The following is a 22,801-nucleotide window of genomic DNA, read 5'->3' as shown; positions in this document are numbered from 1 at the left end:
ACAGAACCCATGGCCTGCCGGGGGGATGGTGGCCTGGTGAGTAGGGACAGGGTGAGGCGTGGAACAGGGCGATGCCCGCAGGCAGGTGCAGGAGCATCTGACATATTTACGTAGTGCACATACTCAGGAAGGTATGTTCCCATTGAGATCTGAGACTGAGCAGAAGTTAGCCAGGATGAGGACAAGGCAGAAGCTTCCAAGCTGAGGGAACAGCATCTGCTAAGGCTCTGAGGGGAATGGTGATGCTTGAGAACTTGGAGAAGGCTGGTCTGGGAAGCTCAAAGGGCCCCAGGGGAGAGAGCCCTGGACTGCCTGCTCTGAATCAGGGGCGAGACTCCTCCACTTCTGCCTCCCCATAGGTGCCTCCGCAGCAGCACCACGTGGCCCCCCTCATGCCTCTGCTCATGGGGACCCAAGCAGATGCCAGCTGGGGCGGTGGCTGGGTCCCAGGTTGAAGGCATGTTTGGTGGGGTGCAGTGGAGAGAGCAGGCCCCATAGCTGGTATCTGTGGTGACCAGGTGCCCTTGCAGGTATTAACCACCTGGGTGTCTGCCCTGCACCCACAGAACATGCTGGAGCAACTCCTGATCCACCAGCCCGAAGATCCCATCCCCTTCATGATCCAGCACTTGCATAGAGACAACGACAATGGTGAGCACTGGCTGGGGCTCTTCCCCTCCTCGTCTTCCCTTCCCCTCCTCCTCCTTCCCCTTCTTCCCTGACTCCTCTGCCTCCTCCTCCTCTTCCTCTCCAGGAACCCTGCCCCATCCCGAGAATAGCTGAGCACCATTCTGTCCTACCTGTGTCTGAAGGGAGGTCAGAAGGGAGGGGTTTCATCAACTTGAGGTGGTGGTTCATTGAAAAATGCCTTGATTTCTTTTGGAGCACAACTTATAAAAATTCTCTTGCCAAGTTATTAAAATGAAAACCCCAGAATGACCCATGGAATCAATTATTAATGCTTTCGCCTGCCCTAGCTGATGTCGCCTGTTGGGTTTCAGCTCTCTGATCACTCCACTTGTCAGGTGTAAGTTTGGTTTCTGGTCTACCTAGACAGGCAAGCTCTTGGGCTTTTCCGACGGTCTCATTATCGGAGCCTGTTAATGAGTTTCCGAGCTCCCCAAACCTTTGCAGTTGGCCGGTGCAGGTCAGCCTGACCCAAGGCCGGAGCACAGAACTGGGGAGGAGGGAGGCGCTCACTCAAGGAAGGCCCCTCACTCCACTCCATGGTCCATTTGCCAAGTGGAGGATCAGTCCTGTCCTTTGTGAGCTGTTGGGGAGGACCGATGTCTTGGAGCTTTTATGTTTCTTTCGTTGGAGCATTAGCTGCTTTGAAGGAGCTACCAGTGCACCAGTGAAATTAGTGCTTGGTACAGCTGAGGACAGAGCCCAGAGATGCCCTGTGTGGAGGTTCAGAAGGCCCAAGGTGAGAAATGACACTAGGTAGTTAAAAAAAAGAAAGGAGGTTCCAAGCCTTTTCCTTGTGCCCCACATGCAAGTCCTGACGCATCCAGGCCTGGCTGCGGAGCAGCAGAGTAAGGGAATCTTGGGTCCCGATGCCATTGCATGGACCTAGGCAGGCAGGTACAGAGAGAGACCCCACAAAGGGCCAACAAAAAGGCCCTTTTCTGAGCCTCTGGTTAGGTGCAAATGGCTGATTCACTAGACATTCCCTTGTTCAGCGGATGTTGACTGAGCGTCCTATATGCCCAGGCGGGGGTGGTGCGGTGCTGGGGTGGCCTTGGGACCCCCTTCCCCGTGTCTGATTTGCCTTCTCCCCAAACCCACCTTCCTGGTGCAGTTTACTCTGCCCTGCAGCGACTCTTAGAGACCTCCTTTCTCTGGTTGGCTGTTTATTACATGGTACAGGTGGGAGGTTTTGTCTCCCCAGATTCATCACCTGCTCTTAGGGTGGATGTTAAGCCTACCCTGCGCTCCTGAGTGGTCCTTACTGCTGCAGACCTAGGCTCGCCCCCAGGCCTCACTGACTCCATTTGCCAGTGGAGGTAGTTCCTGCATTCCCCCCTGCCCCCACCCTGAGGCCGAGTGGGTGCTGGGAGCTTGAGTGCTGCTGAACTCTGTTATTCCAGGGCTGCGGAGAGCATCTCTGCCCACACGCAGCTATCTCACACCGCCACCAGAGAAAGAATGGACCGCAAAGGGAAAGCAAAGCAAAAGGAAACACAAAGTAAAAGTGAAATAAGAGCCAAGTAAAAGCTAAAGTAAAAGTAGAGTAAAAGTAAAGTAAAAACAAAGTAAGACTAAAAGTCAACCAAGAGCGAGTGGAAAGTGCAGTGCAGCACAGTCCTCTGTCCTGCCACCCCCCCACCTCCCTCCCCACTGTCAGGGACCCTGCAGCTCACTCATCTTAAAATGTAGAGACGTGAGAGATCGTGGCTCTCTTTGGCCTCACTTTCCTCGTTTGTGAAATGGATGTGTTTGGTTAACCCAGATAGAAGCTGTGAAACTCTGGTCTGGTCAGTAGTGGCTGAAGGAATGGGAAATCCCTGATGCATCATGGGTAGCAGCTTCCAGGAATATGACGTCTAGTTTCCACTAGTAAAAAGCTTAATAGATTTTTCTAAATTAAAAATTGTGCTTGCCAGCCTGGCCAATATGGCAAAACCCCATCTCTACTAAAAATACGAAAATTGGCTGGGTGCGGTGGCTCACGCCTGTAATCCCAGCACTTTGGGAGGCCGAGGTGGGCGGATCATGAGGTCAGGAGATCGAGAACATCCTGGCTAACATGGTGAAATCCCATCTCTACTAAAAATAAAAAAAAAATTAGCTGGGCGTGGTGGCGGGCGCCTGTAGTCCCAGCTACTGGGGAGGCTGAGGCGGGAGAATGGTGTGAACCCAGGAGGCGGAGCTTGCAATGAGTAGAGATCACGCCACTGCACTGCAGCCTGGGCGAAAGAGCGAGACTCTGTCTCTAAAACAAAACAAAACAAAAATACAAAAATTAACCAGGCTTGGCAGCACACACCTGTAATCCAAGCTACTCAGGAGGCTGAGGCAGGAGAATCGCTTGAACCCAGGGGGTGGAGGTTGCAGTGAGCTGAGATCGCACCACTGCACTCCAGCCTGGGCAACAGAGTAAGACCCTATCTCAAAAAAAAAAAAATGTGCTTGAAAGCTGGGTGTGGTGGTGCACCTGTAGCTCCAGCTACTTGGGAGGCTGAGACAGGAGGATCGCTTGAGGCCAGGAGTGAGAGGCCATGGTGCCACGACTTCATCTTGAATACCCACTGCATTCCAGCTTGGGCAACATAGTAAGACTCTATCTAAAAAAAAATGTGCTCGATAATAATGTAACCACTTGAACTCTCATAAATTAGGTTGCACTGACATTTTCTACTGTTAGTTTGAAAATCATGCATGCCCTGTGTTCTTCTCTTTTTTTTATTTTCTCCCTCTTATTTTTCTTTTTAGAGACAGGGTCTCTGTTGCTCAGGCTGGAGTGCAGTGGGGAGATTACAGCCCATTACAGGCTTGACCTCCTAGGCTCAAGTGATCCTCCTGCCTCAGCCTCCTGAGTAGTTGGGACTACAGGTGCATGCTACTGCGCCTGGCTAATTTTTAAAAATTTTTTGTAGAGATGGGGTTTCACTATGTTGCCCAGGCTGGTCCCTGCTCCTAGGCTCAAGTGATCCTCTTGCCTTGGCCTCCCAAAGCATTGAGATTACAGGCATGGACCACTGTGCCTGGCCCTCTGTGTTCTTAAACCGCTACTTCAAGGCTTACCTAGTTCCCCAGCCTAGAAGCTCAAGAACCTTGAATTTCAAGAAATTTGAGGCAGATTCAATCATCTCTTTGTTTTGATCTTGCTCCTCTGTGTGCAGCTTTAATTTTCAATGTCAAACTATCCACTTCATCAGAATTTTAAAGTTTAAACATCATCTTTCTGGTTTGGATGGAGTGCAGTTGATGTTGGCTGGACAGCCACCTCCGCTGCCACCTCCCTGCCTTTGTCTCCTCCTCCCACCCTCCTTAGCGCCCCTTTCCCTTCATCCGAAGGTCTGGGGCTTTCCTGAAGCTCCCTCCAAGGAGCCCTTGCTCCTTTCTCTGCACTGCACCTGCTCTGTTGTTCTCGAGCAGAGGCTTAGGCTCCAGACCTGCCTCGTGCCGTCTCTAGCTGGGGGCCAGCCTCCAGCCGGGGGGGTCTGTCCTCCTGAATAGCTGAGTCCAGCTTTTTGCCCGGATGCTCTCAGGGAGTCGAGTCACTGGGTCCCAGGAACCACTGTTTTGGAGAGTTCATTTGTTTCCCACAGCCCTGCACTCCACCGCAGGCCCTCAGCTGGCAGCTTTTATGGATATTAGAACATTTTGTCCTTTGGCTCAAGCCCCAACCACTGAAATGGAAAGAAGAGAGCGACACCCATGGGTTTCTCTCTCTTTGCCCACGCCTCTGTGGACAAGTGAAGCAAAAATGGGAAGGAGGAAGGGAGACAGGGGAGACTACCCTGCTTGGTGACTTTTCTTTTCTTTTTCTGTTTTTTTGTTTTTCTTTTTGTTTTGAGATGGAGTCTGGCTCTGTCGCCTAGGCTGGAGTGCAATGGCGCAATCTCAGCTCACTGCAAGCTCCGCCTCCCAGGTTCAAGTGATTCTCCTGCCTCAGCCTCCTGACTAGCTTGGATTACAGGCACCCGCCACCATGCCCAGCTAACTTTTGTATTTTTAGTAGAGACGGGGTTTCACCATGTTGGCCAGGCTGGTCTCAAACACCTGACCTCAGATGATCCACCCGCCTCGGCCTCCCAAAGTGCTGGGATTACAGGCATGAGCCACCATACCCGGCCGCCTAGGTGAATTTTCTAGGAGTGGGAGAAGCCTCGAATCAGCTAAGCCCAATCCTCATGTGTCCTAGAAGAGTGCGGGAGGCTTGGAGAGGCCCATGACATCCAGTGTGTGTTTTTGTTCCCCTGGGCTGGTGTGTCAGATCATTGTGCCCCCTTCCAGCCATGCAGCGGCCTGGGGTAACTATAGCTAGGACCTCAACCCTTCCTCTTACTGGGCCTGGGGTTAACTGCCACACACAGTGACATGGCTGGTGACTGGTGTAGAGAGAAAGAAGGCCCCGGACTCATCCCGGTGAGCGAGCACACGAGGGAGCAGAGGGAGCCCCGGCACTTGGGCTGGCAGCCCCTTCGCCGCCAGAAAGGCAGATTTAGTACAAAGTGAGCATTTACAGTAGCCCTGGGCAATATTAAAGCAGGCGATGGTGTATATAATGGTATGTTTCGTTTTTTATCAAACGTTTGTCCAAGAAAGCTGTGTATTAGAGCTCCAATACCTAAGGGTTTTCTTGTGAATTTTAAATCATGCTCCTAGTTAAACCTCAAAAGGATCTGTGGATGGAAAGGTTTTTTGATTTCCTTTGAAGTGGTTGGAAGAAGTTGATTACTCTTGGCAGTCCAGCAGCCTTTTATGACACTGTTTATAAATAATTACTCATGAGCAGGGCTGTAGTTTCAAGGTGTTAGATTTTAAGAAAATGAAATTAATCACATAAATGTGTGGGAGAAATTAGGTGGGGAGAAAGGCCGTGGATGTTCCCCTTTTAAAGTCTATTCATAGACATGTACCATTTGGGTGCCACTTACAGGAACCTGGAAGGGGAGGGTTTCCCCTGCAGCCCCCAGCCCGGGAACTCTCAGATGAATGCGTGGAGTCAGGTTCGCTCCCCAAAGGCCCTTGCCGAGCTGCATCTCCCCTTTCCTTGGGCTCTGGGCGCCCTGAGCCCTGTTGGGCCTCATCTGTGTTTGGAGGAGCTTCAGCAGGGCCTGTGGTCAGAGCCCTGGAGAGGCAGCAGGCGATGGTGCATGAGTGGACCCAGGTTCCCCACTGCTCCCTCATCAGACTTTGGCCAAGCAGGCGCTCTCTCCATGATCCACACGAGCCCTCTGCCTCGTGGCCCAAGGCTCCTCCACCCTTGACCACCCTCCCTGCCACTCCTCCCCACAAACCTCCCATGGCACTCTGGCTCCCATCTCACCTCGTCCTCTCACCTGACCATGTGTCCTCAATGCCACCTGGTTTCCATACTTGTCCTGCAAGCAGTGTTTTCCACACTATATCCTATGGTGGCTTCTCTCACCCATGGGGAGGGCCCTGGGAGGCCTTGCCCCAGGCCACAGGCCTAGAACAGAGAAAGGGCCGCTGAATGCCCGCCCTGGCTCCCACCCCAGAAGCTGAAAACACCTTCCTAGCTTCCATGACAGTCAGGGCTGGGCCCACCACCAGCGCTTCCCCTGCCAGGCGAGTCCAGAGTCGGAGTCACAGGCAGGACCTGGAGCACTTCCTGGCAGCTCCGCAGGGCCTGCTTCCTGGGTGGAAGGGCAGCATGGTTGATGGCGGCAGCATGGTTGATGGCGGCACCATGCCCACATGTGACAGCAGCATCATGGGCACGGGCAGCACTGTCTGGTGTCTCCCCAGCCCATTTGGTGGCCTTGCTTGGGGTGTTGTTCCTGTGGGGTAGCCCTGAAGGCCTGGCTCCCCAGCCTGTGCAGGACTCTTATGAGCCACGCTGGGATAGATAGATAGATAGATAAATAGACATAGATATAGATATAGATATTTTGAGACGAAGTCTTGCTCTGTTGCCCAGGCTAGAGTGCAGTGGCGCAGTCTCAGCTCACTGCAACCTCCACCTCCCAGGTTCAAGTGATTCTCCTGTGTCAGCCTCCCGAGTAGCTGGGATTACAGTTGTGTGCCACCACGCCTGTCTAATTTTTTGTATTTTCAGTAGAGATGGGGTTTCACCATGTTGGCCAGGCTGGTCTCGAACTCCTGACCTCAAGTGATCCGCCCATCTCGGCCTCCCAAAGTGCTGGGATTACAGGTGTGAGCAATCAACCCCCTTTTCTTCTTGACTCAGCTGCATTCAGTTTCTGCACTTGTACCCAAACATGCTGACTGGCAGAGGGGGCCCTCTGTAAGGCAGTAGTAATGGTGGTGACAAAGGTGACAAACAGTGACCATAGGACGAGATGGGGATGGCCAAGGAGGTGGCCCTGAAGGTCACTGTGTGTGGCTCCTCACAGTTCTGGCCGCCATGGGGGTGATCCAGGAGGATAAGACTCGGTCTCTGCCCTTGGGAGCTTCTCTTCCTGTGGGGACAGCAACTCCACCTGTTTCTCAGTAGTGGGCTGACATTCACCAACGTGGAAGACTGTGGCAGCCCATCACTTGATCACGGGCCTCCACAGGGAGTGAGAACAAGGATCTCGGGGAGGGAGAAGGAGTGGGAGGCTGGGGGTGCTGGGTGCTGGGAAGGGAGGACATTCCTGATGGGAAATGACAGGTGGCAAGGCAGGAACGTGGAGGGAACAGCCATAAGGAGAATATGAAGGTCCACAGCTTCTGAGGTTAAAGGAGAGGATCATTCAGTGAGTTACCTTGACTTCCTCCAAAAATGAGAAGGTGCCATGATTTTGGGCAAAGATCTATTTAAACCCAAGCAGCCAGCTGGGTGTAGATGTGCTAACCATTACATTGCTGGCCAAAAGGACGATGTCTAGTTCCTTTTCTCTGTCTGCCTCCAAACTAGAAGATACAGCACCTCTCTCCTCTGCTGAGATGAGATTCCCTCCTGAAAGCCCAGCCAGAATAGGCTCTCATGCAGACGTTAGAGGCTCATGTGAGTTGCAGTGGACATCTGTTCATCTGTCACCTTGGGTCAGGGGCCAGGCCAAGGTTACCGGCTTCCCACAAGGAGAGGGACAGCTGGCCCAATCAAGATGGTGTTGAGCAGGCAGGCAGTGTGGATGCATCTGTCCAGACCCCACTGCTGTTCCCTTCATTTCAACCCAGTGTGATGCCTTCCTGCACCCTTCTCACCATGCTGGTCAGCTCTTTTCCCATCGCCAGCAGCCACTCTAGCTCTGTCTCACCTCTTCCTCTCACCTGACCACTTGTCCCCAAAGCCACCTTGTTTCCAGAGTTGTCCTGCAAGCAGTTTTTCCACCTGCAGTGGGTTCTCTCCCCACAGGGAGGGCCCTGGGAGGCCTTGCCCCAGGTTACAGGCCTAGAACAGAGAAAGGGCCACTGAATCTCTGCCCTGGCTCCCACCCCAGAAGCTGAAAATGCCTTCCCAGCTTCCACGATGGCCAGGGCCTGGGCCTGCCACCAGAGCTTCACCTGCCGGGTGAGCCCAGACTCTCGGTCACAGGTTCAGGAGCCTGTGGTTCATATCACACTCTTGTCAGTAGCCTGGGTTGGGAATTCTGTGGGACCAAAACCAGCCAGGACTAAAATCAAACAAGGTGCCAGTGTTTTCCATTTGCATAGAAATGCCCATCTTTGAAAACAGACTTTCCTTTCTTGGGTTTTATAAATCTGGCCCATACACTCCAGGCTTTTCCCATTACTTCCCTCTGTAAAATCATGGGGAATACAATTTGCTAAATAAAACGGCATAAACATAAAGAAAAGCTTCTAAGGTCGATTTGCATAAATTACAGCCTTATTGGAGAGAGCGTTCCTGAGACAAAGTCCCTGTTTAAAATGCTTTGTGGTGTTTGAAATCCCAATTGTTCTTGATATTTATGAGTTTGGTAAACAAGTTACCGTGTCTCTGTCCCCTTGGAGGCAGAAGAATAAACCATCTCGGTGATCACTTACCTCTCTGAACACAGAGAATGCGTTCCATGGCAAGAGTGTCTCTGAGCTGCTGGGTTACAAATGGCCGTGTCACTGGCAGAAAATGAAATCTAGGGAGGGAGAAATAAGTACACCCCGAGTACCGCAGGTGTGGGAGGCTGCTTGTCATGTTGAGTGGTGACATTCAAATCTTTTTATTCCACAGTGCCCAGGATTGTAATATTAGGTCCACCCGCCTCAGGGAAAACAACAATAGTAAGTGTATCATATTAAGTGTTGTGATGCTGTAATATCTCATTGATCCTCCAGAGCTGGAATGAGACTGCACCTCCGTGAATTTGTAGCATAACTGAGCTTTTCTTCTTTTCCTTCTCCTCCTTCTTATTACAAAAGGTAGTGTGTATTCATAGCAGAAAACCTAGAAACTACAAAAGACCAAAAATAGAATTCCCTGACCATCCAGAGATGAGCATTCCTTTAGCATGCTCGGAGACACCTTCCTGGGCTTTTTCTGGCCTGCATACACGCTCTCCTTGCTCACCCTTCGCTATATCCTTAGGGTACGTTTCCAGAAGTACACGTGCTGGGTCCAACAGTACACGCATTTCATAGACTTTGACTTGGAATCTTAATATTTACTCTGAGCATTTTAATTGTGAAATACTTAAAAGAATCAGAAAAGCACAGCAAACTGTACCATCGATATTCACGTATCCAACTCCCAGATTTTATGCAAATTTAACATCTTGCCATATTTGCTTTGTTTGTTCTCTCCTCATTTTAAAGAAAATACATCTTTGAAGATACAGCAAATGCCTGGGCCCACCTCGCCCACACTTTTTCACACATCACCAGTTTCTGGACAGTGAATGCCCTTTTCTGGACAGTGAATGTCCAGAAACTGGTGGTGTGTGCTTCATTTATCTGTGGCTTCGATCTTTAAGGTCCTTTTTTGTTTTTTCAGACAGAGTATCACTGTGTCACACAGGCTGGAATGCAGTGGTGCGATCTGGGCTCACTGCAACCTCTGCCTCCTAGGTTCAAGCGATTCTCATGCCTCAGCCTCCCGAGTAGCTGGGACTACAGGCATGCACCACCATGCGCGGCTAATTTATGTATTTTTAGTAGAGATGGGGCTTCACCATGTCGTCCAGGCTGGTATTGGACTCCTGACCTCAGGTGATCCGCCTACCTCAGCCTCCCAAAGAGCTGGGATTACAGACGTGAGCCACCACGCCCAGCCTAAGGTCCATTTTTAAGTACCAAAAATGTGTTAAAATTTCATTCATCTGAGATGGAACCCTTTTTACCTTTATTTTTTATTTTTTATTTTTATTTTTATTTTTTGAGACAGAGTCTCCCTCTGTTGCTAGGTTGGAGTGCAGTGGTGCGATCTCGGCTCACTGCGACCTCCGCCTCCTGGGTTCAAGCAATTCTTCTGCCTCAGCCTCCCGAGAAGCTGGGACTACAGGCGTACGCCACCATGCCCAGCTAATTTTTGTATTTTTAGTAGAAACGGGGTTTCACCATGTTGGCCAGGATGGTCTTGATCTCTTGACCTCATGATCCTCGGCCTCCCAAAGTGCTGGGATTACAGGCGTGAGCCACCGTGCCCGGCCTAAGGTCCATTTTTAAGTGCCAAAAATGTGTTAAAATTTCATTCATCCAAGATGGGACCTTTTTTACCTTTTAAAAGCCTGATTGGTGAACATCAGCGAACCCTTCCTCTGTGACCACATCATTGCTGTGAGCATGTATCATGGACGGGATGGGGCAGGCTGTTCCCCGGTTTAACTGGCACCTTGCTTTCTTCTGAAAAGGAGTTAAAATGACTGATCCTTGCACAAACTAACCTGCATCTGCTATACTTTTGGAGTTAGCATAGCTGTTCTACTCATCTGTCCATCTGCTCACCCTTCTGTCAGTCTATAGTTTTTCTATTAGATTCCTCCATATCAGGCCGTAGGGTTCTAAGCCTTTCTGCAGGACCCACCTGAGTCCAACCATTTTGCTGTTTCACAATTAGAAGCCAGGGACTCCCAGACCTGCTGATCATTAGCATTTCCAGGGTGCTATGAAAAATGCAGGTTCCTGGAGTCCCCTGCAGACCAACCTCATCAGAATCTCCTGGAGCAGAGCCCCAAAAAACTAGTAGTTAGAACACACTCCCCAGGTAATTCTGACATTGGGAATGAGGATGACAGATCCTGCATTTAGACAGACAAGCTCGTTGAACTCGTTTTTCTGGAGGAGTCTGGTTGCTCAGTGGGAGGCTCTCCTTTTGTCTTTGACATTTGAATTCTGGGGCCATCTGTGCTTCGTCCTGTCCTAGCTCTTCTCTGGTCACTGGTAGGAATCTGCTGGGCAGAGCAGATTCAGAACGCAGAGACCTGCTTTCGGCAAGTCCCAGCATGGCTGAAGCGATCGAGTTTGTCCTCTCTGTCGAGGTCAGGCCCTGGCAGCTGGTGTTTCAGCAACAAGCCTTTTGGTGAATTGCTGTCCCCACTCCTGAGTGCCCTTTGGAGACACACAGATCTGATGATATGATGTACAGTCAAAAAGGGCTTCTTCCCAATGCTGTCATTGAGGTTTCTCACCACCCACAAAGGCAGCTTCAAAGCCAAATCCTCAGAAAAGGGGATCTGCCTGGGCTAGCTGGTCAGGTGTCCCAGGCACAGTCAGCTCTGTTGAGGGGTGTGCAGTGAGGGCTCAGTGAGGCCACAGAGCTCAGATGTGGCCATGAAGACTCCTGGTTGGCAGGGGATGAATGAAGGAACAGGAAGAACGAAGGTTCACACCAGCCCCAGGCCCTGGAAGGGCCTTCAGAACCATCTCGAGGCTGAAATAGTCATCAGCACAATTTTGGTGTCAAGAATGTTTTAGTCCATTATTCTCCCTTAAAATTTACTCTTCCCTTATAGACTATAGAGTAATTATCAATGAACTAAACATCCCATTGGCCAGCACATGCCAGCTCCCAATCTTTAAGAAAAAAAAAAGAACACTGAGTGTGGGCTGTTACCCATCCTTAGGTTCTGTCCTCAAAGTTCCTGTTCTGAGTCTTCCTTGAGATGAAACTCATGGTCCACAGAGCTTGGAAAGCACGCCAAGGGCAGCTAAAATGTAACCTGCCTGTAGGTCTTCCCACTTCATTTAAGTCTATGCTGGTAGAAGAAGAGATGCTATGAGCAGGGCTCTTAGGCCAGCAGGTGCTTTATGGGTGGGTCTCCCTTGGTGGCCGTCCTCCAGCTGGAAATAATTGTGCTTCCCCATGGCCAACCTTTTCCCATAGGAGAGGGAAGGACCAGGGCATTTTAATAGAGTCATTTGTGTATTTATTGTTTTTATGAAAATGCCCTTTTCTTCTTTCCTTTCTTCAGGCAATGTGGCTCTGCAAACATCTGAACAGCAGTCTCCTCACCCTGGAGAACCTGATCTTAAATGAGTTTTCCTATACGGCCACCGAAGCCAGAAGGCTTTATCTGCAAAGGAAGGTAGGACTGGCCCCGGGGACAGGGGTAGGCACACAGCAGCAGTGCCCACTGCCACACCCACTGCCACCTGACCATTGCTTGGTTTGTTCCCATTTCATTTTTGATTGAGTACAAGAAAATGCTGGGGTAAAATGAGATACAGGCAGGGTGTGAAGGAAGGAAGAAGATAATTCTTTACTGGGCTCACGTCCTGTTGGGTACCGAGGTGAGTTTTTGCAGTGGGAAAGGATCACGGGTCGAGTGAAGGAGGCTGTTTTGTCCAAGCCCTTGGTGGGATGGTCCAGGCTTGCTCTTTTTCTTCTTAGGCTCAGCCGAGTAAAGGCATGGAGGCAAGTGCTGAACCTGGCGGCCCGCGCCAGGAGATGCAGGGTTGGGCTGCGCCAGCAGTTGAAAGGGCAGCTGTCCAGCTGTCCCCAGAGTGGAAAGCCCCCATGTTCTGTACCTTAGAGGCGTCTCCCTCCCATAGCCTTGGGCACCCTGCTGCACAGCCCACCCTCTGGTCCGGGCAGTGCCCATTCCCCCTGTCCCTCCCACACACGCTGGGGAGCATTGCAGGAGGTGTGGGTGTTGTTTCTAAAAGACCAACAGCTCGATATTTGAAAAACATCTTCTAAAGGGAAATATAAGGCTTGATCACATTATTTCTCTTTAATACAAATAGAAACTCAAAATATTTCTTCAAAATTCCTTCTGGCTGGGCATGGTGGCACGTGCCTGTAGTCCCTGCAACTTGGGAGGCTGAGGCAGGGACTCTTCCTCCTCTCTTCTGTCTTTCTTGCCATGCTCCCAGCCACTCGTGACCACCACTCCATTCTTGTCTCCTGTGTTCTCGGTTCAGACCACCCACAAAGGCAGCTTCAAAGCCAAATCCTCAGGAAGGGGGATCTGCCCGGGCTAGCTAGTCACGTGTCAGGCACAGTCAGCTCTGTTGAGGGGTGTGCAGTGAGGGCTCAGTGAGGCCACAGAGCTCAGATGTGGCTATGAAGACTCCTGGTTGGTGGGGGATGGCAGTTCTCACAGATGAGAGGTATGGATGGGCTGGGTGCAATGACTCACGCCTATGATCCCAGCCCTTTGGGAGGCCAAGGTGGGCAGATCACTTGAAGTCAGGAGTTCGAGACCAGCCTGGCCAACATGGTGAAACCCTATTTCTACCAAAATACAAAAAAATTAGGTGCGCATGGTGGTGGGTGCCTATATTCCCAGCTACCCAGGAGACTGAGGCAGGAGAATTGCTCAAACCCAGGAGGCTGAGGTTGCAGTGAGTCAAGATCACACCACTGCACTCCAGCTTGAGCGACAGAATAAGACTCTGTGTTAACAAAAAAAAAAAAAGAGAGAGAAAGGGGTGTGACTTCGACAGACCCCCAGCCCCAAGTCTGCCTATGACAGCAGCTTGATAGAGAAGGAAAGCCTGGCTCAGCAAGGCGGCCACCCCCACGGCAAGTCAGTCCCCCAGCCGCCCCTGCAGTCTTGCAGGAGTTGGACTGTGTGGCTTCAGCTTGCGGGGACACCAGCCTTTCGGGCTGGGAATATGGTTTTAGAAAGAAAGTGGTTATCTCATTTTCTGCAGAAGATAAGCTTTCTTGGGGAAGGCTTTTTTGTAGGATAAAAATGTTTTTATTAGCTTTATAAAATTCAACAGAGAGGAGGGAGTTTAAGGAAATTCCTCCTGGGTTTCATTTTGCTAATTATCAACATATTTCAAACCACATTGAAGTGCTTTCAAGGGTGTCTTGTTGGGGTCCTTGGCTCAGAAACTCTGGTGGAGGGAAGATGAAAGGCCTGGATGTCAGGCCTCATCAAAGAGTAAAATGTTCTGAAGAGCGAGTGGGCACATGGCAGGCTCGGCCATGCGTGGCCTTGTCTGCAGACAGTGCCTGCCAGTCAAGGCCTCTCATTAAATGTCCTCTTTAAATTGTCTGCTGATTTGGAATCTTTATGGCTCTTTTTGCAAGTAGTAATGATACCTTCAAATACCTGATTTTCTCCTGCTAGTCTTAGCTTTGCCCTCCTAAGCAGAATTCTCTTACGTTGCCACTGTTAACCAAGACATCTCCATCTTAGGCATTTCCCAGTGGTTTCTGAAATACTTCCTAACTGCCTTTTTGCCAAGCACTATTCTGCAGTGCTGTGGGAGAGTCAAAGATGAGTTTCTTCTCCTTACCCCAGAAGCTTCCAGCCAGTGAGGAGACTGATGGTCCCATAAAACTAAGCACAAGCCAGGGTATGGGAGCCAGGGAACCTTCAATAAAGCAATTAATCGGTGGCTTGTTTGACTCAATTCATTTACTAATTCATTTACGTTAGTCCTGAGCACCTACTAAGTCCTAGGCACTGGCTCTGGGCTGGGAAGGGGGTACAGGCTGCAAGATTTAGGGACCCCCTGGAGCCATAACCACAGTTACACTAAGCAAAGCCTTCCCAAAGGGCACACTGTAATGTTCTAAGGCATGGAACGGTCTGGAATCGGGCAGTGTCACAAAGCCCACGGGGATGGTGCCCCAGGATGCTGGGGGTTCACAGTGGCCAGGGATTTTTGTTTGTTTTTAAGTGTTTGTTGTGAAATCTCATAAAAATATCTAGAAGCAGTGAGGATAGTCTGAGAACCCCCATGGATCCATCCCCTGCTTCGACAGATGTCAGCTCATGGCAGTCTAGCCTTGGGTTGCACCCTCACCTGCTCCCCCTGCCCTGGGTTATTTTAAAGCAAACCCAGACAGCATTTGACCTTCCCCATGGGTGTTTTAGTCCAGATCTACTGAGATTGAATATTCAGTGTGGACAATGGCAAGACCTCCTGTAAACATAAGACTCTGCCCCACAATCTGCAGCAGCCCACCCAGGAGACCAACCCATGACCTGCAAGAGCCCACCCGGGAAGCCACCTGCTGTGCCAGGCTTGCAGGAAGCCAGGCTGCTCTCTCTTCCAATAGTCCAGGAAGCTGAACTAAGTCATCCCTATAGCCACCTATCCCAAATGGCCAGGGCATGATTAATAACTGGCAGTGTCTCTAGTTTTTGTTCCTGCTTCCAACCTGAGACCAGCCAGAGAAAGCCAAACATGCTCCCCTGTCTAGTCCTGTAGAATGCCCACCTCTAGAGAGACACCTCCAGCTCCCCAGCAGCAGCCTCCTTCAGGCATGCCTGGAGCCTTCCCTTTTCCTCTAGAACTCTCCCTGTCCTCTACCTGCGTTCGAGTCCGCCAGATGTGAACGATGCTGGCTGACTCCCTTGCCCAGCAAGCTCTGAGTAAACAGCCTTGGCTTGTCTCATTTGGGAGGTCTTCATTTATTTCCGCAACCCAAAGATAAGGGCCCTTTTTCAGTAAACGCATAGAGACACATTATCACACCTAGAAGTGTCACTGAGGATTCCACCAGGCCAGCCAGAGTTATAAATCTCGCCGAGGAGATGGTGTTCTTATGGCTCCTGGGCCCTCTCCTGCTCAGGCCCCTCCCTCACTGGACCATCAGGGACATGTGATGCTTCTGGGTCCAGGCCGGGCTGGAAGAGACGTTTGATGCCCTGAAGACGCTGGCTGTCCCTGGACACCAGCCAAGGTCATTGGCTGGCGACTGGCTCCCCTGAGTGATTTTGTCTAGATGCTGACCCCACAGCTTTTCCTGGAGGGGATCAGGGACCCAAGGACATGGTCAGAGCCATCGAAATGAATGTCAAAATGGCCCCAGTCCTCTCGCCGAACACCGTGAAAGGGACATGGTTTCCAGTAATACTGCAGAAACCCCCACCTTTTCTTCCCACAGTAGTGGCCCTAACACCTTCTCCACAGGCCCGTTCCCCTGAAACGCTGCCCCTGGAACCCCAGCCCGAGGCCACCTTTGCCTCCCGTTCTTCCCATTTATTAAGTTAATTGAATTCATCTTTTCAGCCGAGTCTTTTTTCCTTCATCTGCTTTCTCTGGCCCTGTCTCTAAGCCCACAGTCTGACTCAACATCATAAACACCACAAAAAGGCTCAGGTGAGGAAGACCCGGGTCGAGGAGGGGGAGGAGACGGGGAAGGAGGGGGACAGGGTAGGGGAGGAGAAGGGAGGAGAAGGGGGAGAGGGGGAAGGCCACTGAGGAGCCACTCTCAGGTGCTGATCCTGTACTTATGAGCCTTCAATTTCTACTGTTTAAAAAAAAAAATCTGGCTGGGTGCAGTGGCTTACACCTGTAATCCCAGCACTTTGGGAGGCTGAGGCGGGAGGATCGCCACCTTTCTTTTTTTTCTCTGTCTCTACAAAAAAGAAAAAAATATTAGCTGGGCATGGTGGGGGGCGCCTGTAGTCCCTGCTGCCTGGGAGGCTGAGCCTGGGAGGTGGAGGCTGCAGTGAGCCATGATGGTTCCACTGCACTCCAGCCTGGATGACAGAGTGAGACCCTGTCTCAAAGAAAAAAAACAACGTGAGCCCTCATCCTACCTCTGTCTGCACACAAGAAACATAGTCCCCTCCAAGTAGTTCTGAGGATTTCTAGGAAACAGCCCACAGATGTTGCTTCCCAGTCCTGCCTGGTGTCTCCCTCACTTCTGGCCACTCCATCTCCAGCTGGCCTTGCTGCTCCCATTTCTTGAGGCTGAACTGAGACACAGTGGGAATGCCCTCAGTCTCTCCCTCCCTTTCCTGAGTCAACAGCTCCAGGCAGTGGCGTCGAGCAGGCCTTTTTGGAAGGCTTGGGGTAGAGGAGGTGACTGCTCTACCCAGGGAAACTGGAGCACCAGGCTCCGTCACTCCTGTGAAAATTTCCTGGCCTTCATCCAGTCCAGGGTTTCTCTTGCTGCCACGTCCTTCCGTGCGCCTGTCTGGGTGCCACGCTATGAGGTCTGCTCTCTTCCTTTGAAGCCTCTTCTCCTCTCTCCTCCCTCCTCTTGTCTCTGGTCCCCCAACCCTCCTGTCTCCCCCTCCCAAACTCTAGGAGGCAGTTCCTGCTGTCTCCTAACCTGCTCTGACAGCTCCGAGCAGCAGTAACTTTGGAATGGGAGTTGTCTCTAAAGGATGTTCTGTCAGTTCTGAGGGGAGCTCAAGTCCGACTACTGGGTTTCCCTCGTCTACCAGGAGGAGCCCCTTTATGGAGAAGGGGGGTGTGGGGGTCAGATCAGGGCATCTCACCTGTTCCCCTCCCTGCTCTACTTCCCAAGATCACACTGTAGCTCAAAATGCCCACAACTTCTGAGCAGGCATCACTCACCATGTTGACACAGGGACATTAGGATCCCTGAGAGTGGGGCCTGGAGATGGGACAGGAAGATGCAGGCTCATGCCATCCCAGTGTGAGAAAGCCCACTGGGGAGAAGTCAAGTGACGCCCCAGGGGCAGAGCCAGGGTTGGCACCTGCACACTTGGCTGCCTCAGAACAGCAAAACAGCGGGCGGCACCTTGGAGGGCTAGGAGATCAGCGAGTCTGCCCCCAGGCCGGGAAACCCACCAAAGCCGCACTGGGTGCTGGAGGGGAAGAGAGAAAAATCCAAATTGCAGCAAACACAGCCTGTCCTGCCCTTAAGTGCACGGAAGCAGCACGGGAGCAACTGGGTGCTGCGGTGCCACCGAGCAGGGAGACCCGGGGCCAGGGGCCTGAGTCGGGGCTGAGCCTTCTCTGTGGCCAGGAGCGGCCTCACTGCACTGTCAGCTTCTCCCTGATTCTCCCCAAATGCCAGACTTTGGGGGCTGGGGTGGGAGAGCATCACAGTGCTCTGCAAGGAGGGAGGCTGATTCCTGCTAAGACAGTTTGGCAGGGCTTCTAGAAGCGGCCTCTGAAAGCCCTGCTGCTGACGTGACACATCAAAGCTGGCGTGGAGACAGCACAGTGGCGGGGAGCAGCGGGGGGCGCTCAGGAGTAGCTGCGCTCAAAGCCGCAGGCCTGTCCCCTGCTGTGCAGGCTGCAGGGGGTGCTGTGCCCCACCGGGGCTGTCCGCCTTTCAGCCGGTGCTCTTTGACTGGCTGGCACCCCCTGCGTCCTGGTTGGCACCCTTCTCTGCATCCTGTACCTGTTTGAACACTGCCTCCTGAATGGGTGTTGTCAGGGAGGGCAGAGGAATCTGGGAAAAACAGCCCCAGAATGGAAATTGGCTGTGCCTGGGGTCAGGAGAGGACCTGAGGGGCTGGGAAAGGATGAAAGGGGATGGGAGGGGAGAGGATGAGACGGAGGGGGGATGCAGAGGGAAGGGACAGGGCTGCTTCCTGTCCACCCCTTCCCTTGCCAGCCTGGGGAAGCTCCCCTGGAGACCTGAGGGAAACGGGCACTGGCGGAAAGACACCCTCCCTCTCTAGCAGCTTCCCCCAGACCCCGGGGGCCCTGTGTAGGTGGGCTTATGCCAGTGGTTCTCCAGGTGTGATGCCCTGACCAGCAGCGTCCGCGTCCCTTGAAAACTTGCTAGAAATGCACATTCTCAGCTCTGTCCCAGAGCTACTGAATCAGAGCTCCCAGGCTGGGGCCCAGCAGTTTGTGTTTCCAGAAGCTCTGCCAGCATTCTGTTGCACAATCAAATTGAGAACCACTGGCTTAGGGAAGAAAGGTGGGGGAAGGGGGCGGTAGGATAAGGATACAGGGCTATCTCAGCAGATGTTGGAGCCAGGGACTGGATGCTGGCTCGCCTCCTTCTTGCCTCTCTGGTCTCCTTTTTCCTCTGTGCACCATCCATTCATTCATTCATTCTGTCTCTCCCTCTTGCTCTCGATCTTGACTTTGGCTGTCTACCTCGTAGAAACATGGTGACCCCATAACTTTAAAGTGAACATATTCATCCAGTTCCCAGCAGAGGTGCCCCCTCCCTCGTTCTCTCGCTATCTCCCCTTTTTCTTCCCATTCCCCATCCCTGGAAAAGCCATTCTGCAGCTGGGTCTGGTTTCTCTCTTTCCCTTTGTGCTGGTTTCATTCCGTTCCACACCCGTCATGCCCACGAAGTGGCTGCCGCAGCTCCCGCTCTTACATTTTCTCAGCTTCTGAGCTGGTGGAAAGCAGGGGTTCATGCCCCTAATGATTGCACTGATGTCCTGGGCCTGACTTTCACTAGCTGGGACTGGGTCCCAGGCAGCCTCTGAATCAATCACAGTGGCTGGGAGTGGGGTGTGCAGATTGGCTTGGACAAGTCAGGGCCCTCCTCTGGATCTGAGGATGGACTTGAGCGCACCCAGACCATACAGGCAGAAGGGCAGGAGGGTGACTCCTCAAAGGAACTTTGGGAGCCCATGTTACTGTAAGTGGAGTGTATGGAAAATTAAAATAAAAGCCACATTTGCAGTCTCATTACTGATTTCTACTGGTTAGGTGTGTGAGGCCTAAAGAGGTCAAGGCTTTGCCCAGGGTCGCCCAGCTGGCTGTATCGCAGCCGCCAGGAGCAGAGAGCCTGCCCTGGGCAGAGGTGGGAGGTGAGCCCTGATGCCAAGTCCGAGTCTCTGCTCTGCATAAGAAAGGCTGTGCCAGGAGGCCCCCGCCCCCAGCAAGGAACTTTCTGATTGGAATGTATTTCTACTTCCCATGTCCTTTTTCAGAAATGTGGGTGGGTGTAGAGGAGATTTTTAGCCCCTGTTGTGCACTACAAGGAAAGGCACAGGCCAGGCCTCAGCGACTCCCCTGAGAAGAGTTGCTTCCTCCCCAGTCCTTTGCAGAGAAGGGAGAGTGCGGAGTACCCTGGGGAAGCAGCTTCACCTCTCCCAGGCTCAGCTTCCTCCTCTATGAAAAGGGCCAACACTCTGAATCAATCACAGTGGTCAGGAGTGGGGTATGCGGATTGGCTTAGACCAGTCAGGGCCCTCCTCTGGATCTGAGGATAGAGTTGAGCACACCCAGACCATACAGGCAGAAGGGGGCAAGAGGGCGACTCCTCTTTGGGATTCCTCTTTGGGGGCCCGTGTTACTGTAAGTGGAGTGTAGATGGCACAGAGTTGTTACAAAAAGCAAAGAATGGAATGCTTGGCCCAGTGCCTGGCACATAGCACGTGCTCAACAAATGCTAGCCGTCATGATTGCTGCTTGTTGAATGCATCAAGGAATTTGAAGTTTCATTATGGTCGACAGGGCTTCCTATATCCTTGATACCATTTGGTCTGCTGGTCAATATTCAACAACCAGCACTGGGGGCAGGGTGGGGAGTCCTTATTGTAGCCTTTATCATTTCTGTGGTGTAGACACTCCCACCGTGGCCAATTTTGTTACCAACATGAGGTCACTGACTGTGGACTTGGGAAGAGATGGACACACTCGCCTCTGCTGAGTCTTGGAGCCAATCCCCTCCCACCCGCCACTGTCTGGAGTCCAGAGTCAGTAGGACACTGTCCCTTTCCTTGAAGAGCTTTACAACTTCCTGGGGACACAGCCACGTGGGCAGTCCATTAGCGTGTGCGGTGGTTAGTGCAGTGACAGAGTTCTCCATCCAGGATGATGGAGCACGGGAAGTAGCACCAGCCTGGCCTGGGAGGATCCGGCAGGGCTTCCTGCAGGCTGGCACTTGGGGCTGAGGCTCTGAGGGAGCCCTGGAGTTATTCAGGTGGAGGTGGGCGAGGGCATGTTGGGGCTTGGGCACAGGATAAGGTGAGTACATGTGTGAGGGAGGCCCTCAAAGATGCTGGGGGGAGAAGAGAGTTCAAGGAAAGGGTGCAGCGGGTGGAGGAAGGGCGGGGCCCGATGGTGGTCGGTGCTTTCCAGAGGCCAGGGCGTTGGTGAAGGGTGTGTGCTGGTCTGTGTCCTGAGCTGCAGGAAGCAGGTTTGGGCCATCATTCTGTGTGTCCTTTTTCCTTCAGACAGTTCCCAGCGCGCTGCTCGTCCAGCTGATTCAGGAACGCCTGGCTGAAGAGGATTGCATCAAGCAGGTAAGACTCCAGTGAGCTAGGGGTTTCAGTGCCAAGATAAAGGGGAGGGTGAAGGGCGTGTGTTCATCTCCAAGACCAGAGATGACCAGAGGCATAAGAGAAGGTAAGGCAGGCAAACGGGAACTCCGTGAAGGTCAGTCTACAGACATGGATTTTGCTTTTGTCAAAGGAAAAGGAACAGTGTGGAATTCGTTGTATCGGTCAGGGTTCCCGTAGGAAATAGCTGGCCCATCCAGAGGGGTCACAGGAAAGCATTTAATGACAGGACAATCGCAGAAGCATGGGAGGGTAAGGCAACCGACAAGTGATGGTGAGGCGCCAGGGACTGGCATCGGCAGGAGGCAGAATTAGGGGTACCCCAGACTCTCGCCTCCTATCCTTTGATCTCCTGCCAGACCCAGTGAAGTCAAAGGGCAGGAGTCCAGGTGAGCAGTCCACTGAGGCCGGCCTCCTGGGGCACAAGGAGGGTGGAGAGGGCAGGGGAGGGCTCAGGAGGACAGCAGCATAGCACCTGTCTACTGGGCACTGATGGGTGCCACAGGAGGGCTTTGCACACCGATTCATGTGTCCTCACAGGAACCCTATTGGGTCATGTCATTACTTTTCTCTTTTTATTTTATTTTATGTATATATGTATGTATGTGTATATATACGTTTGAGACAGGGTCTTGCTCTGTCACCGAGGCTGGACCCCAGTGGCATGATCACAGCTCACTTAGCCTCAACTTCCCAGGCTCAAGTGATCCTCCTGTCTCAGCCTCCTGAGTAGCTGGGACTACAGGCATGCATCACCACACCCAGCTAATTTTTGTACTTTTTGTAGAGATAGAGTTTCACTATGTTGCCCAGGCTGGTTATCAAACTCCTAGGCTCCTATATTTTTTTCTGAATTTAGAATCCTAGGTTAACAGTTTTTTTCTTTCAGCATTTTACAAATGTTTCACTTACAGTTTTTTCTTTTTTTGTAATTTTTAAGGGGCCATGCTAATATTCTCTGTATTGTTCTAATTTTAGTATATGCGCTTGCCAAAGCTAGCACTCTGTTTACTTTTTTTTTTTTTTTTTTTTTTTTTGAGGCAGAGTCTTGCTCTGTTGCCCAGGCTGGAGTGCAGTGGCGATCACTGCTCACTGCAACCTTGACCTTCTGGGCTCAAGAGATCCTCTCGCCTCAACCTCCCCAGTAGCTGGAACTGCAGGTGTGTGCCACCATGCCCAGCTAATTTTTTGTAGACTGGATCTCCCTCTATTTCTCAGGCTGGTCTCCAACTTCTGGTCTCAAGCAGTCCTCCTGCCTTGGCCTCCCAATGTGTTGAGATTACAGGCATGAGCCGCCACACCCAGCCTCCACTTACTTCTGACCACTGTGGTTTCTATGAAAAATCCACAGTCATTCAAATTCTTTTATAAATAATGCATCATTTTTTTCTCTGACTACTTTCAAGATTTTTTCTTTGTTTTTAGTTTTCTTTTTTCCTTTTCTTTTCTTTTTTTTTTTTTTTGAGGCGGAGTCTCATTCTGTCGCCCAGGTAGGAGTGCAGCGGCATAATCTCGGCTCACTGCAACCTCCACCTCCCAGGTTTGAGCGATTCTCCTGCCTCAGCCTCCTGAGTAGCTGGGATTACAGGCATGCGTCACCATGCCTGGCTTATTTTTGTATTTTTAGTAGAGATAGGGTTTCCCCCTTGTTGGCCAGGCTGATCTTGAACTCCTGACCTCGGGTGATCCACCCGCCTTGGCCTCCCAAAGTGCTGGGATTACAGGTGTGAGCTACCGTGCCCGGCCTATTTTTAGGTTTCACTAGTATAATTATGACATGTCTGGGATGAATTTCTTTGGGCTTATTCTTTTTGGTGTTTGCTGAGCTCCTGAATTTATAGGTTTGTATTTTCCTC

At 51.7% G+C, this 22,801-nt stretch overlaps 1 protein-coding gene and 1 non-coding gene across 14 annotated transcripts in view, besides 6 other annotated features; one reads left to right on the top strand and one right to left on the bottom strand.

The window, feature by feature from the left end:
• AK8 (adenylate kinase 8) overlaps positions 1-22,801 on the top strand; it is a 153,469-nt gene that overhangs the window by 3,281 nt on the left and 127,387 nt on the right. For 4 of the 13 annotated variants that reach the window (NM_001371771.1, NM_001371773.1, NM_152572.3 and 1 more), the window contains exons 2-5: positions 567-651; positions 8,813-8,862; positions 11,988-12,101; positions 20,841-20,909. In NM_001371771.1, the coding sequence (NP_001358700.1) occupies positions 570-651; positions 8,813-8,862; positions 11,988-12,101; positions 20,841-20,909 (315 nt within the window). In that variant the 5' untranslated portion in view covers positions 567-569. Of the gene's footprint in view, positions 1-530; positions 652-1,326; positions 1,427-8,812; positions 8,863-11,987; positions 12,102-20,840; positions 20,910-22,801 lie in introns of those variants that run through there. The other 9 variants (XM_005272169.3, XM_047422822.1, XM_011518277.3 and 6 more) reach the window with 5 other exon arrangements.
• Positions 2,213-2,322: an enhancer, noted in NCBI's record as "active region_29223". NCBI's record gives its function as "activates an Ori minimal core promoter by ATAC-STARR-seq in GM12878 lymphoblastoid cells {active_cell/tissue: GM12878}" and the evidence as "EXISTENCE:reporter gene assay evidence [ECO:0000049][PMID:35858748]".
• Positions 12,326-13,057: an enhancer, noted in NCBI's record as "H3K27ac-H3K4me1 hESC enhancer chr9:135738096-135738827 (GRCh37/hg19 assembly coordinates)". NCBI's record gives its function as "activates a minimal SCP1, AML or CMV promoter by ChIP-STARR-seq in naive H9 embryonic stem cells {active_cell/tissue: H9 hESC(naive)}" and the evidence as "EXISTENCE:reporter gene assay evidence [ECO:0000049][PMID:30033119]".
• Positions 17,807-18,580: an enhancer, noted in NCBI's record as "H3K4me1 hESC enhancer chr9:135732573-135733346 (GRCh37/hg19 assembly coordinates)". NCBI's record gives its function as "activates a minimal SCP1, AML or CMV promoter by ChIP-STARR-seq in naive and primed H9 embryonic stem cells {active_cell/tissue: H9 hESC(naive and primed)}" and the evidence as "EXISTENCE:reporter gene assay evidence [ECO:0000049][PMID:30033119]".
• Positions 19,003-19,502: an enhancer, noted in NCBI's record as "H3K4me1 hESC enhancer chr9:135731651-135732150 (GRCh37/hg19 assembly coordinates)". NCBI's record gives its function as "activates a minimal SCP1, AML or CMV promoter by ChIP-STARR-seq in naive H9 embryonic stem cells {active_cell/tissue: H9 hESC(naive)}" and the evidence as "EXISTENCE:reporter gene assay evidence [ECO:0000049][PMID:30033119]".
• Positions 19,503-20,004: an enhancer, noted in NCBI's record as "H3K4me1 hESC enhancer chr9:135731149-135731650 (GRCh37/hg19 assembly coordinates)". NCBI's record gives its function as "activates a minimal SCP1, AML or CMV promoter by ChIP-STARR-seq in naive H9 embryonic stem cells {active_cell/tissue: H9 hESC(naive)}" and the evidence as "EXISTENCE:reporter gene assay evidence [ECO:0000049][PMID:30033119]".
• Positions 21,061-21,252: a silencer, noted in NCBI's record as "fragment chr9:135729901-135730092 (GRCh37/hg19 assembly coordinates)". NCBI's record gives its function as "represses an EF-1alpha promoter that drives an FKBP-Casp9 reporter gene in an ReSE screen in K562 erythroleukemia cells {active_cell/tissue: K562}" and the evidence as "EXISTENCE:reporter gene assay evidence [ECO:0000049][PMID:32094911]".
• On the bottom strand, positions 21,841-21,948 carry LOC124902335 (U6 spliceosomal RNA). Its single transcript, XR_007061910.1, has one exon. It is a non-coding gene; the product is annotated as a U6 spliceosomal RNA (small nuclear RNA).

Source organism: Homo sapiens, chromosome 9 (genome assembly GCF_000001405.40).
Source record: "Homo sapiens chromosome 9, GRCh38.p14 Primary Assembly".
Classification (NCBI taxonomy): domain Eukaryota; kingdom Metazoa; phylum Chordata; class Mammalia; order Primates; family Hominidae; genus Homo; species Homo sapiens.
This window is presented reverse-complemented; position numbering and strand designations above follow the sequence as displayed.